Genomic DNA, 13502 nt, shown 5'->3' with positions numbered 1-13502 from the left:
TGGTTGCCCGGGGCTGGAGGGGCAGAGGGGAGCAGGTAATGACTGCAAATGAGCATCAGGGATCTATCTGGGGATAATGGAAATGTTTCAAAATTAGATTTTGGTGATGATTGCACCATTCAGTAGACTTACTAAAAATCATTGAAATCTATACCTAACATGGGAGGTTTTCATGGTATGCAAATTATATCCCAATAAAGTTATTTTTTTTAAGTGAATGATAGCCTAAGACCATATATGCAAAGGGTAAGTGAGTGATGCAAAGGTTGAAGAGAGGATATGAGTGTGCAGTGTGTATGTATGTGTTTTAGTCAAATCTAAAATTTTGTTATATTTTCAATTCTACTAATAAAGCAAATCATCAGACATAGCATGGTATTGGGCTGGAAGACAAGCACAGTTGAGGAGAGGACCTGCCCAGGAGTATACAAAGAAAGGTAAGTTTTAGCTCCAGCCTCCATGGGCTCACAAGTCATCCTTTTCTGCATTCCTTTCATTAACTTTCTGCTCATCGTCCCTTGACCTGCAGCCTGGACACCTAGGGGTCCTGTGGCCCAATGGACTCACTGAGCCTAACTTGGCCCAACACAACACATCACACAGAACAGTGGCAATAGAACACATCACACCTCTCCACTCCCCCAGATGCAGCTGTCAGCCAGGCTTGCTGGGTCTCCTCCATTGGGTGACGGAGGCTCTGGGAGATCAGATCTGCTTAGCCTGCTGTGGCCTAGCTCCAGCTACCTATAGCAGAATCATATCGCCTTTCCATATCCCTTTGGAGCCATCCCACAATATTCCCTATGGGTTTTCTCTCAGGAAGGCTGAAGGAAGCTCTGGGATGTTCGTTTTGCTCTGATATACTATCAACATTGTCAAAAATGTTTCTTAAAAATGATAACTTTCTACGTATTTGAGAATCAACCAGGAACCCTAACCTAAACTTTGTGTAACCCCCATACTCCAGGGGTACACATAAATGAGAAAAAGTTACTTGTAACAAGTAAAAAGGAATGAATCCCCCCATCTTTGAGAGTTTGAAACTTTTCAACTAAATAGGAAACATAGTGGAGATGGGCATGAAGTCCCCTTGTTCTCTCATATCTCTCTATATCTCAGGGCATTGTAGAAAGCAGACTCAAAATAAATGCGTATTGGATTGATTCATTCAAAAGAACCAATAAGTACATTCCTCTTTTCTAAAATTCCAGACTCATATAATCACCAGCCAACTCCTTTTTGGAAGTCAAACAGGAAAAAAAAATCATTCATTGAGAAAAAAAAAAAATGTATAGGTCCTCTAAGAGACAGTCCTTCTGAAAAGAAGCTTATACCTTGCTCTAGGTTGGTGTTTTCACATGTAAGTGATTTCTTATATCACTCTAGAAACAAGCAAAAATGCCAGTGGTCTTAGCCTTTCTGCAAAAGTAACAAAGAAAAGTCTTGGAGATGAAGTCTAGAAATTTTTCTTTCATATAACCACTAGGGATTTTTTTTGGATCTCTGAAAATCCTTAGGATAGACTTTAGAAATTAGATACCTACAGTCAAATTGCAGGATTACAGGCTAGGCTTGGGTTCTCAAGTCACATGTCATAAAGATGTGAAGGCCATGATTTGGAGAAATACAGTTTATAACATATACTCTAATAATAATCTTTCTGGGGCCCCAAAATATCATGGTAACTATTTCATAAGGTTGATAAGGGAATAACATGTGACATGCAGAGACTGGCACACAGAAAGTAGTACCCAATAAGTGATTGTGTTAATGCTGGTTATTACTCCTTATAAAAAAAAAAAAGAGGCGTGATGGCTCACACCTATAATCCCGGCACTTTGGGAGGCTGAGGGGAGTGGATCACCTGAGGTCAGGAGTTAGAGACCAGCCTGGCCAACATGGCAAAACCCTGTCTGTACTAAAAATACAAAAATTAGCCAGGTCTGGTGGCAGGCACCTGTAATCCCAGCTACTCGGGAGGCTGAGGCAGGAGAATCGCTTGAACCCAGGAGCGGAGGTAGCAGTGAGCTGAGATCATGCCATTGCACTCTAGCCTGGCTGACATAGTGAGACTCTGTCCCCACCAAAAAACGAAAGAGGAAAGATAAATAGCAACAATCATTTGAAAGGACATTCAATCTCCTAAGTTAGTAATAAGGTAAATGCAAATTCAAACCATTATGAGATACTACTTGCCAGCCACCTTAGCATAGTACCAAATATTAGAAAAATGTGGGCAGGGTACCATGGCTCAAGCCTGTAATCCCAGCACTTTGGGAGGCAGAGGCAGGAGGATCACTTGAGGCCAGGAGTTCAAGACCAGCCTGGCCAACATGGCAAAACCCCATCTCCACTAGAAATACAAAAAATGTAGCCAGGCACAGTGGCACTCGCCTGTAATCCCAGCTATTTGGGAGGCTGAGGCACAAGAATGGCTTGAACCTGGGAGATGGAGGTTGCAGTGAGCCAAGATCACGCCACTGCACTCCAGCCTGGGCAACAGAGTGAGACTCTGTCTCAAAAAAACAGAAAAATGTGAAGCAGTGGGAACTCTCATCCACTGCTGGCAGGAATATAAACTGATACAACCAATTTGAAGAAGAGTTACATATTATCTTGAAAAGCTGAATATACACATCCTCTATGAACCAGCAATTCCACTCCTAGGTATACACTCTACAGAGATTTTGCATATAATGCCCCAGGAATCACGAGCAAAATGTTTGTAGGAGTGTTATTTATAATAACAGAGGTAAGTACAACCCAATTGTCCATCAACAGGACACTGGATAAGTAACATACAGCAAAAACCAATGAACCACAGCTGTAGAAATCAAACATGGGTGAATTCTGGAAACACAGTACTGAAGTGCAGAAGACTCCAAAGAGTATGATTCTGTTTTCAAAAAGCTGCTGTAGCAAAAGGCAACCATAGGTGCCCATCCCCAGAGCTCTCTATCTTGCTCTGAGTGACTCTAGCTTCTGCTGACTTTGGGGCTGGGATAGAGAAGGGCTGTCTTTCCCACAAGATGGGGGTGTGTTTGATCTGTACACCTTGCTGTCCACTGGCCTTTCCCAAGGCCCCTGCCTGGCTGCCCCTTCAAGAGTGTGCACACAGCACAGCCTTGCCCAAGTGCTTTGCCTGCAGCCTGGGAGTCAGTACGCCACCCTGTGGGGCCAGAGGACAAAGCCATGGGCCCAGACCCAACCCCCCCCACCCCGGGTTTGAGCACACAGCTCAAGGGTATTGAGCTGAGATCTGAGCTCAAGTGAGGGAGGGGCCCCTACTCTCACAACACTGAAAAGAATAAAGTATGGGTTCCTATGCTGGCATGGGAGCTGGGCATGCCCCCTTCCACAAGTGCAGTCCAGGAAAGATGTAGCCTGTTTGCCAGCTGCAGCATCTGCCCAATGAAGCCCCATATCCCAGAATACCAGCAATCTGGGCACAGAAGGCTTAGGACAAAACTAGCTGGTTAGGCCTGCTACCGAGGCAGAAACACCAAGAAGAAACTTGGTTGGGGAAGCACAGGCTGGGCTGTCCCCATAGCTGTCTGCTGAGCACAAAACCCAGGGCCTTGGGTGTCACACCAGCTGCCTATCCTTGACAACACTGCCTTGTCTAGGGATCCTCTGCCCTTGACCCACTTCATCAACAGACTACCCCGACAGATACCCTGCCACCCACCCTGACTATGCCAATCACAGAGGACCAGCTCTCTGGGGAGCTGCAGGTCTCCTAGTGACCTAACCTTTGGGTTGAGGTGCCCCTAACAGAGGAGGGAACACAGTCTACCAGAGCCCCACCCCCTTGGGGCTAAGGAAATGTAGGTGTGGCACCAGTCATTCGAGGGGGCTCTTCCAAGGCCTTGTTGGAATGAACTTGACAAGAGGTTCATCTCTTGCCCTCCCATCTCCCCAGATGTTCTCCCCAGAACATTGCTGAGAATACAAAAGAGGTGCTAAGATGAGGAAGAGCCTACCTGCTGGCCCTTACTCTTAAGTGCCATTTACTGGATCTCAGTCTGAATTAGACCACCAAACAAAAATTTCTTCAGCACACTTCATATGTGAAACCTAATGCAGGAATCTGGCTACAACTAAAAAACCCATATAAGGCTGAGCACGGTAGCGCATGCCTGTAATCTCAACACTCTGGGAGGCCGAGGTGGGTAGATCACCAGAGGTCAAGAGTTCGAGACCAGCCTGGCCAACATGGTGAAACGCCATCTCTACTAAAAATACAAAAATTAGTCAGGTGTGGCGGCATGAGCCTGTAATCCCAGCTACTCGGGAGGCTGAGGCAGGAGAATCACTTGAACCTGGGAGGTGGAGGTTGCAGTGAGCCGAGATTGTGCCACTGCACTCCAACCTAGGTGACAGAGCGAGACTCCGTTAAAAAAAAAAAAAAGAACCCGTACAAGCCCTGACCCTCTGAAATCACCCAGAGATGAAACCAACTGGCTACATACAACATACACCACAAACTCTCAAGGGAAAAAAAGATATAAAAACAAAAAACTCCACCAAAACAACAGCAACTTCAAAAGCTAAAGAAACACCAACCCTCTCAGATGAGAAAGAACCAGCACAAGAACTCTAGGAATTCAAAAGTTCAAAGTGTTTGTCTCCAAATGATTGCACTAGCTCCCCAGCAATGGATCCTAACAAGACTGAAGTGGCTAGAATGACGGAAATAGAATTCACAATCTAGATGGCAAGGAAGTTCAATGAACTTCAGGAGAAAGTTGAAACCCAATCCAAGGAAACTAGCAAATGATACAAGAGTTGAAAGATGACATACCCATCTTAAGAAAGAATGAAACAGAACTTCTGAAATTGAAAAATTCAGTACAAGAATTTCAAAATAAAGTTGGAAGCATTAACAATAGACTAGAGGAAGATGAGGAAAAAAATCTCAGAGCTCAAAGACCAGTCATTTGAATCAACCCAGTCAGAAAAAAAAAAAAGGAAAAAAGAATTTAAAAAAATTAACAAAACCTCTGAAAAATATGGGATTATGTAAAAAGATAAAACCTATGACCCACTGGCATTCCTAAGAGAGAAGGAAAAAGAGCAAGCAACTTCAAAAACATATTTGTGGACCTAGTCCCCCCAAATTTCTCCAACCTCACTAACGAGGTTGACATGCAAATTCAAGAAATTCAGAGAATCCCTGTGAGATACTGTGCAAGAGGACCATCCCCAAGACACATAGTCATCAGACTTTCCAAGGTCAATGTGAAAGAAAAAAAGCTTAAAGGCTGCTAGAGAAAGAGGTCAGGTCACTTACAAAGGGGACTCCATTAGGCTAAAAGCGGACTTTTCAGCAGAAAACTTACAAGCCAGATAAGATTAGTGACCTACTTTCAGCATCTTTAAATTTAAGAAAAGAAATTCCAACCAATAATTTCATATTCTGCCAAACAAAGCTTCATAAGTGAAGGAGAAATAAAATCTTTCCAGATGAGCAAATGCAAAGGGAATTCATTGCCACTAGACCAGGCTTAGAAGAGATCCTTAAAGCGTTCTAAACTTGGAAAGAAAAGAATAATACCTGCCACCATAAAAACACACTTAGGTACATAACCCACAGACCCTATAAAGCAACTACACAATTGAGTCTACGAAACAACCAGCTAATAACATGATGACAGGACCAAAACCTCACGTATCAGTATTAACCTTGAATGTAAATGGTCTAAACTCCCCACTTAAAAGACAGAAAGTGGCAAATTGGATTTAAAAAATGAGAGCCAATCATCTTCTGTCTTCAAGAGACCCATCTCACATGTAACTATACCCACAGGCTCAAAGTAAAGGGATGGAGAAAGATCTATCATGCAAACAGAAAATAAATAGAAAAGAACAGGGGTTGCTATTCTTATAAAACAGACATGACACTAACAGCAGTTTTAAAAGATGAAGAAGGGCATTACATAATGATAAGGAGTTCAGTTCAACATGAAGATTGATCTATCCTAACTATATATGCACCCAGCATTGGATCACCCAGATTCATAAAGCAAGTACTTCTAGACCTATGAAAAGACTTACACAGTCACACAATAATAGTGGAGAATTTCACTGGAGGTTCCAAGATGGCTAAATAGGAACAGCTCCAGTCTACAGCTCCAGGCATGAGCAATGCAGAAGACGGGTGATTTCTGCATTTCCAAATGAGGTACCGGGTTCATCTTACTGGGGTTGTTGGACAGTGGGTGCAGCCCACAGAGCATGAGCCAAAGCAGGGCAGGGCATCACCTCACCCGGGAAGCACAAGGGGTCAATGAATTCCCTTTCTTAGCCAAGAGAAGCTGTGACAGATGGTACCCGGAAAATCGGGACACTCCTACACTAGTATTGCGCTTTTCCAACAGTCTTAGCAAATGGCACACCAGGAGATTATATCCAGTGCCTGGCTCAGAGGGTCCCACGCCCACAGAGCCTTGCTCACTGCTAGCACAGCAGTCTGAGATCGAACTGCAAGGTGGCAGCGAGGCTGGGGGAGGGGCGTCCATCATTGCTGAGGCTTGAGTAGGTAAACAAAGTGGCTGGGAAGCTCGAACTGGGTGGAGCCCACTGCAGCTCAAGGAGGCCTGCCTGCCTCTGTAGACTCCACCTCCGGGGGCAGGGCATAGCCAAACAAAAGGCAGCAGAAACTTCTGCAGACTTAAATGTCTCTGTCTGACAGCTTTGAAGAGAGTAGTTGTTCTCCCAGCATGGAGTTTGAGATCTGAGAACAGACAGACTGCCTCCTCAAGTGGGTCCCTGACCCCCCAGTATCCTAACTGGGAGACACCTCCCAGTAGGGGCTGACTGACACCTCATACAGCTGGGTGCCCCTCTGAGATGAAGCTTCCAGAGGAAATATCAGGCAGCAACATTTGCCATTCTGCAATATTTGCTGTTCTGCAGCCTCCGCTGGTGATACCCAGGCAAACAGGGTCTGGAGTGGACCTCCAGCAAACTCCAACAGACCTGCAGCTGAGGGTCCTGACTGCTAGAAGGAAAACTAACAAACAGAAAGGACATCCACACCAAAACCCCATCTGTACGTCACCATCATCAAAGACCAAAGGTAGATAAAACCACAAAGATGGGGAGAAACCAGAGCAGAAAAGCTGACAATTCTAAAAATCAGAGCACCTCTTCTCCTCCAAAGGAATGCAGCTCCTCACCAGCAACAGAACAAAGCCGGATGGAGAATGACTTTGACGAGTTGAGAGAAGAAGGCTTCAGACGATCAGTAATAACAAACTTCTCTGAGCTAAAGGAGGATGTTCAAACCCATCACAAAGAAGCTAAAAACCTTGAAAAAAGATTAGACGAATGGCTAACTAGAATAAACAGCTTAGAGAAGACCTTCAATGACCTGATGGAGCCGAAAACCATGGCACGAGAACTACGTGATGCATGCATAAGCTTCAGTAGCTAAAGTGGAAGAAAGGGTACCAGTGATTGAAGATCAAATGAATGAAATGAAGCGAGAAGAGAAGTTTAGAGAAAAAAGAGTAAAAAGAAACAAACAAAACCTCCAAGAAATATGGGACTATGTGAAAAGACCAAATTTATGTCTGATTGGTGTACCTGAAAGTGACAGGGAGAATGGAAACAAGTTGGAAAACACTCTTCAGGATATTATCCAGGAGAACTTCCCCAACCTAGCAAGACAGACCAACATTCAAATTCAGGAAATACAGAGAATGCCACAAAGATACTCCTCGAGAAGAGCAACTCCAGGACACGTAATTGTCAGATTCACCAAAGTTGAAATGAAGGAAAAAATGTTAAGGGCAGCCAGAGAGAAAGGTCGGGTTACCCACAAAGGGAAGCCCATCAGACTAACAGCAGATCTCTCGGCAGAGACTCTACAAGCCAGAAGAGAGTGGGGGCCAATATTCAATATTCTTAAAGAGAAGAATTTTCAGCCCAGAGTTTCAGATCCAGCCAAGCTAGGCTTCATGGGTGAAGGAGAAATAAAATCCTTTACAGACAAGCAAATGCTGAGAGATTTTGTCACAACCAGGCCTGCCTTAGAAGAGCTCCTAAAGGAAGCACTAAACATGGAAAGGAACAACTGATACCAGCCACTGCAAAAACATGCCAAATTGTAAAGACCATCGATGCTGGGAAGAAACTGCAACAGCTAACGAGCAAAATAACCAGCTAGCATCATGATGATAGGATCAGATTCACACATAACAATATTAACCTTAAATGTAAATGGGCTAAATGCTCCAACTAAAAGACACAGACTGACAAATTGGATGAAGAGTCAGGACCCATCAGTGTGTTGTATCCAGGAGACCCATCTCACGTGCAGAGACACACATAGGCTCAAAATAAAGGGATGGAGGAAGATCTACCAAGCAAATGGAAAACAAAAAAAAGCAGGGATTGTGGTCCTGGTCTCTGATAAAACAGACTTTAAACCAACAAAGATTAAAAGAGACAAAGAAGGCCATTACATAATGGTAAAGGGATCAATTCAACAAGGAGAGCTAACTATCCTGAATATATATGCACCCAATACAGGAGCACCCAGATTCATAAAGCAGGTCCTTAGAGACCTACAAAGAGACCTAGACTCCCACACAATAATAATGGGAGACTTTAACACCCCTCTGTCAACATTAGACAGATCAACGAGACAGAAAGTTGGCAGGGATATCCAGGAATTGAACTCAGCTCTGCACCAAGTGGACCTAACAGACATCTACAGAACTCTCCACCCCAAATCAACAGAATATACATTCTTCTCAGCATCACAACACACTTATTCCAAAATTTACCACATAGTTGGAAGTTAAGCACTCCTCAGCAAATGTAAAAGAACAGAAATTAAAACAAACCGTCTCTCAGACCACCGTGCAATCAGACTGGAGCTCGGGATTGAGAAACTCACTCAAAACTGCTCAACTACATGGAAACTGAACAATCTGATCCTGAATGACTACTGGGTACATAACAAAATGAAAGCAGAAATAAAGATGTTCTTTGAAACCAATGAGAACAAAGACACAACATAACAGAATCTCTGGGACACATTTAAAGCAGTGTGTAGAGGGAAATTTATGGCACTAAATGCCCACAAGAGAAAGCAGGAAAGATCTAAAATTGACACCTTAACATCACAATTAAAAGAACTAGAAAAGCAAGAGCAAACACATTCGAAAGTTAGCAGAAGGCAAGAAATAACTAAGATCAGAGCAGAACTGAAGGAGATAGAGACACAAAGAACCCTTCAAAAAATCAATGAATCCAGGAGCTGGTTTTTTGAAAAGATTAACAAAATTGATAGACCACTAGCAAGATTAATAAAGAAGAAAAGAGAGAAGAATCAAATGGACGCAGTGAAAAATGATAAAGGGGATATCACCCCCCTTTATCATCCCACAGAGATACAAACTTCCATCAGAGAATACTGTAAACACCTCCACGCAAATAAACTAGAAATTATGGAAGGAATGGATAAGTTCCTGGACACATACACCCTCCAAAGACTAAACCAGGAAGAGGTTTAGTCACTGAATGGACCAATAACGGGCTCTGGAATTGAGGCAATAATTAATAGCCTACCAATCAGAAGTCCAGGACCAGAAAGATTCACAGCCGAATTCTACCAGAGGTACAAAGAGGAGCTGGTACCATTCCTTCTGAAATGATTCCAATCCATAGAAAAAGAGGGAATCCTCCCTAACTCATTTTATGAGGCCAGAATCATCCAGATACCAAAGCCTTGCAGAGATACAACAAAAAAAGAGAATTTTAGACCAATATCCCTGATGAACATCGATGCAAAAATCCTCAGTAAAATACTGACAAATCGAATCCAGCAGCACATCGACAGGCTTGTCCACCATGATCAAGTTGGCTTCACCCCTGGGATGCAAGGCTGGTTCAATGCAAGCAAATCAATAAACGTAATCCATCATATAAACAGAACCAAAGACAAAAACCAGATGATTATCTCAACAGATGCAGAAAAGGCCTTTGACAGAATTCAACAGCGCTTCATGCTAAAAACTCTCAGTAAACTAGGTATTGATGGGATGTATCTCAAAATAATGGGAGCTATTTATGACAAACCCACAGCCAATATCATACTGGATGGGCAAAAACTGGAAGCATTCCCTTTGAAAACTGGCACAAGACAGGGATGCCCTCTCTCACCACTCCTATTCAATGTAGTGTTGGAGGTTCTGGCCAGGGCAATCAGGTGGGAGAAAGAAATAAAGGGTATTCAATTAGGAAAAGAGGAAGTCAAATTGTCCCTATTTGCAGATGACATGATTGTATGTTTGGAAAGCCCCATTGTCTTAGCCCTAAATCTCCTTAGGCTGATGGGCAACTTTGGCAAAGTCTCAGGATGCAGGGTCAGTGTGCAAAAATCACAAGCATTCCTATACACCAATAATGGACAAACAGAGAGCCGGGTCATGGGTGAACTCCCATTCACAATTGCTTCAGGGAGAATGAAATGCCTGGGAATCCAGCTTGCAGGGATGTGGGGGATCTCTTTGGGGAGGACTGCAGACCACTGCTCAATGAGGTGAGGGAGGACACAGGCAAATGGAGGAACATTCCATGCTCATGGATGGGAAGAGTCAGTGTTGAGATGGCCATACTGCCCAAGGTAATTTATAGATTAAATGCCATCCCCATCAAGCTACCAATGCCTTTCTTCACAGAATTGGAAAAAACTACTTTGAAGTTCATATGGAACCAAAAAAGAGCCCACAAAGCCAAGACAATCCTAAGCCAAAAGAACAAATTGGAGGCATCACGTTACCTGACTTCAAACAATACTACAAGGCTACAGTAATCAAAACAGCATGGTACTGGTACCAAAACAGAGATATAGACCAATGGAACAGAACAGAACCCTCAGAAATAATACCACATCTACAACCATCTGATCTTTGACAAACCTGACAAAAACAAGAAATGGGGAAAGGATTCCCTATTTAATAAATGGTGCTGGGAAAACTGGCTAGCCATGTGTAGAAAGCTGAAACTGGATCCCTTCCTTACACCTTATAGAAAAATTAATTCAAGATGGAATAAAGACTTAAATGTTAGACCTAAAACCATAAAAACCCTAGAAGAAAACCTAGGCAATACCATTCAGGACATAGGCATGGGCAAGGACTTCATAACTAAAACACCAAAAGCAATGGCAACAAAAGCCAAAATTGACAAATGGGATCTGGTTAAACTGAAAAGCTTCTGCACAGCAAAAGAAACTACCATCGGAGTGGGCAGGCAACCTACATAATGGGAGAAAAATTTTACAACCTACCCATCTGACAAAGGGCTAATATCCAGAATCTACAAAGAACTTAAACAAATTTACAAGAAAAAATCAAACAACCTCATCAAAAAGTGGGCAAAGGATATGAACAGACACTTCTCAAAAGAAGACATTTATGCAGCCAACAGACACATGAAAAAATGCTCATCATCACTGGAGCATTGCAAATAAAACCACAATGAGGTACCATCTCACACCAGTTAGAATGGCGATCGTTGATGAGTCGGGAAACAACAGATGCTGGAGAGGATGTGGAGAAATGGGAACACTTTTACACTGTTGGTGGGACTGTAAACTAGTTCAACTATTGTGGAAGACAGTGTGGTGATTCCTCAAGGATTTAGAACTAGAAATACCATTTGACCCAGCCATCCCATTACTGGGTGTATACCCAAAGGATTATAAATGATGCTGTTATAAAGATACATGCACACATATGTTTATTGTGGCACTATTCACAATAGCAAAGATTTGGAACCAACCCAAATGTCCGTCAATGATGGACTGGATTAAGAAAATGTGACACATATACACCATGCAATACTATGCAGCCATAAAAAAGGATGAGTTCATGTCCTTTGTAGGGACATGGATGAAGCTGGAAACTATCATTCTGTGCAAACTACCACAAGGACAGAAAAACAACCACTGCATGTTCTCTATCATAGGTGGGAATTGAACAATGAGAACACTTGGAAACAGGGTGGGGAACATCACATACCAGGGCTTGTCGTGGGGTGGGGGGAGAGGGGAGGGATAGCATTAGGAGATATACCTAATGTAAATGACGAGTTAATGGGTGCAGCACACCAACATGGCACATGTATACAGACGTAACAAACCTGCACATTGTGCACATGTACCCTAGAACTTAAAGTATAATAAATAATAATAATAGTGGAGAATTTCAACACCCCACTGACAGTGTTAGACAGATCATCAAGGCAGAAAACTAACAAAGAAATTCTGGACTTACATTCAACACTTGACCAGTTGGACCTAAAAGAGATCTACAGAATATTCCACCCAACAACCAGAGAATACACATTATTCTTATCTGCACATGGAACATACTCTAAGATTGACCATATGCTCAGCCACAAAGCAAGTCTTAATCAATTTTTAAAAAATCAACATCATACCAAACGTACTCTCAGACCACAGTGGAATAAAAACAGAAATCAATAACAAATCAATACTCAAAACCACCCAATTACATGGAAATTAAGCAACTTGCTCCTGAATGACTTTTGGGTAAACAACAAAATAAAGGTAAAAATCAAAAAATGATTTGAAGTTAATGAAAACAGAAACACAAATACCAAAATCTCTGGAATGCAGCAAAAGCAGTGTTAAAAGGAAAGTTTATAGCACTAAATGCCTACATCAAAAAGTTAGAAAGATCTCAAATTAACAATCTAATATTGCACCTAGAAGAACTAGAAATACAAGAACAAACTGACCCCAAAACTAGCAGAAGAAAAGAAGAGCAGAACTGAATGAAATTGAGACACAAAAATGCAAACAAAGGATCAATAAACCCAAAAGTTTGTTCTTTGAAAGGATAAACAAGATTGATAGACTGCTAGCTACATTAACAAGGAAAAAAAAGAGAAGTTCCAAATAAGCACAATCAGAAATGACAAAGGTGATATTGCAACCAATTCCACAGAAAAATAAAACATCCTTATGACACCTCTATGCACACAAACTAGGAAATCTAGAGGAAATGGATAAAATCCTATAAATTCATGACCTCCCAAGATTAAACCAGGAAGAAATTGAAACCCTAAACAGATCAATAATGAGTTCCAAAATTGAATCGGTAATAAAAAATCTACCAACCAAAAAAAAAAAAACAAAACCCTGGATGGATGGACTCAGCCAAATTCAACCAGGTGTACAAAGAAGAGCTGGTACCTATCCCACTGAAACTATTCCCAAGAATTGAGGAGGAGGGACTCCTCCCTAACTCCAGCATCATCCTGATGTCAAAATCTGGCAAAGACACAACAAAAAAAGACAACTACAGGCCAATATCACTGATGAACATAGATGAACAAACCCTCAACAAAATACTAGCAAACTGAATCCAGCAGCACATCAAAAAGTTAATTCACCACAATCAAATAGGCATTTTTCCTAGGATATAAGCTTGGCTCAACATACACAAATCAATAAATGT

The sequence above is a fragment of the Homo sapiens genome, chromosome 12, assembly GCF_000001405.40.
Source record: "Homo sapiens chromosome 12, GRCh38.p14 Primary Assembly".
Classification (NCBI taxonomy): domain Eukaryota; kingdom Metazoa; phylum Chordata; class Mammalia; order Primates; family Hominidae; genus Homo; species Homo sapiens.
The sequence above is the reverse complement of the archived record's forward strand: the minus strand, read 5'-3'. Positions refer to the sequence as shown.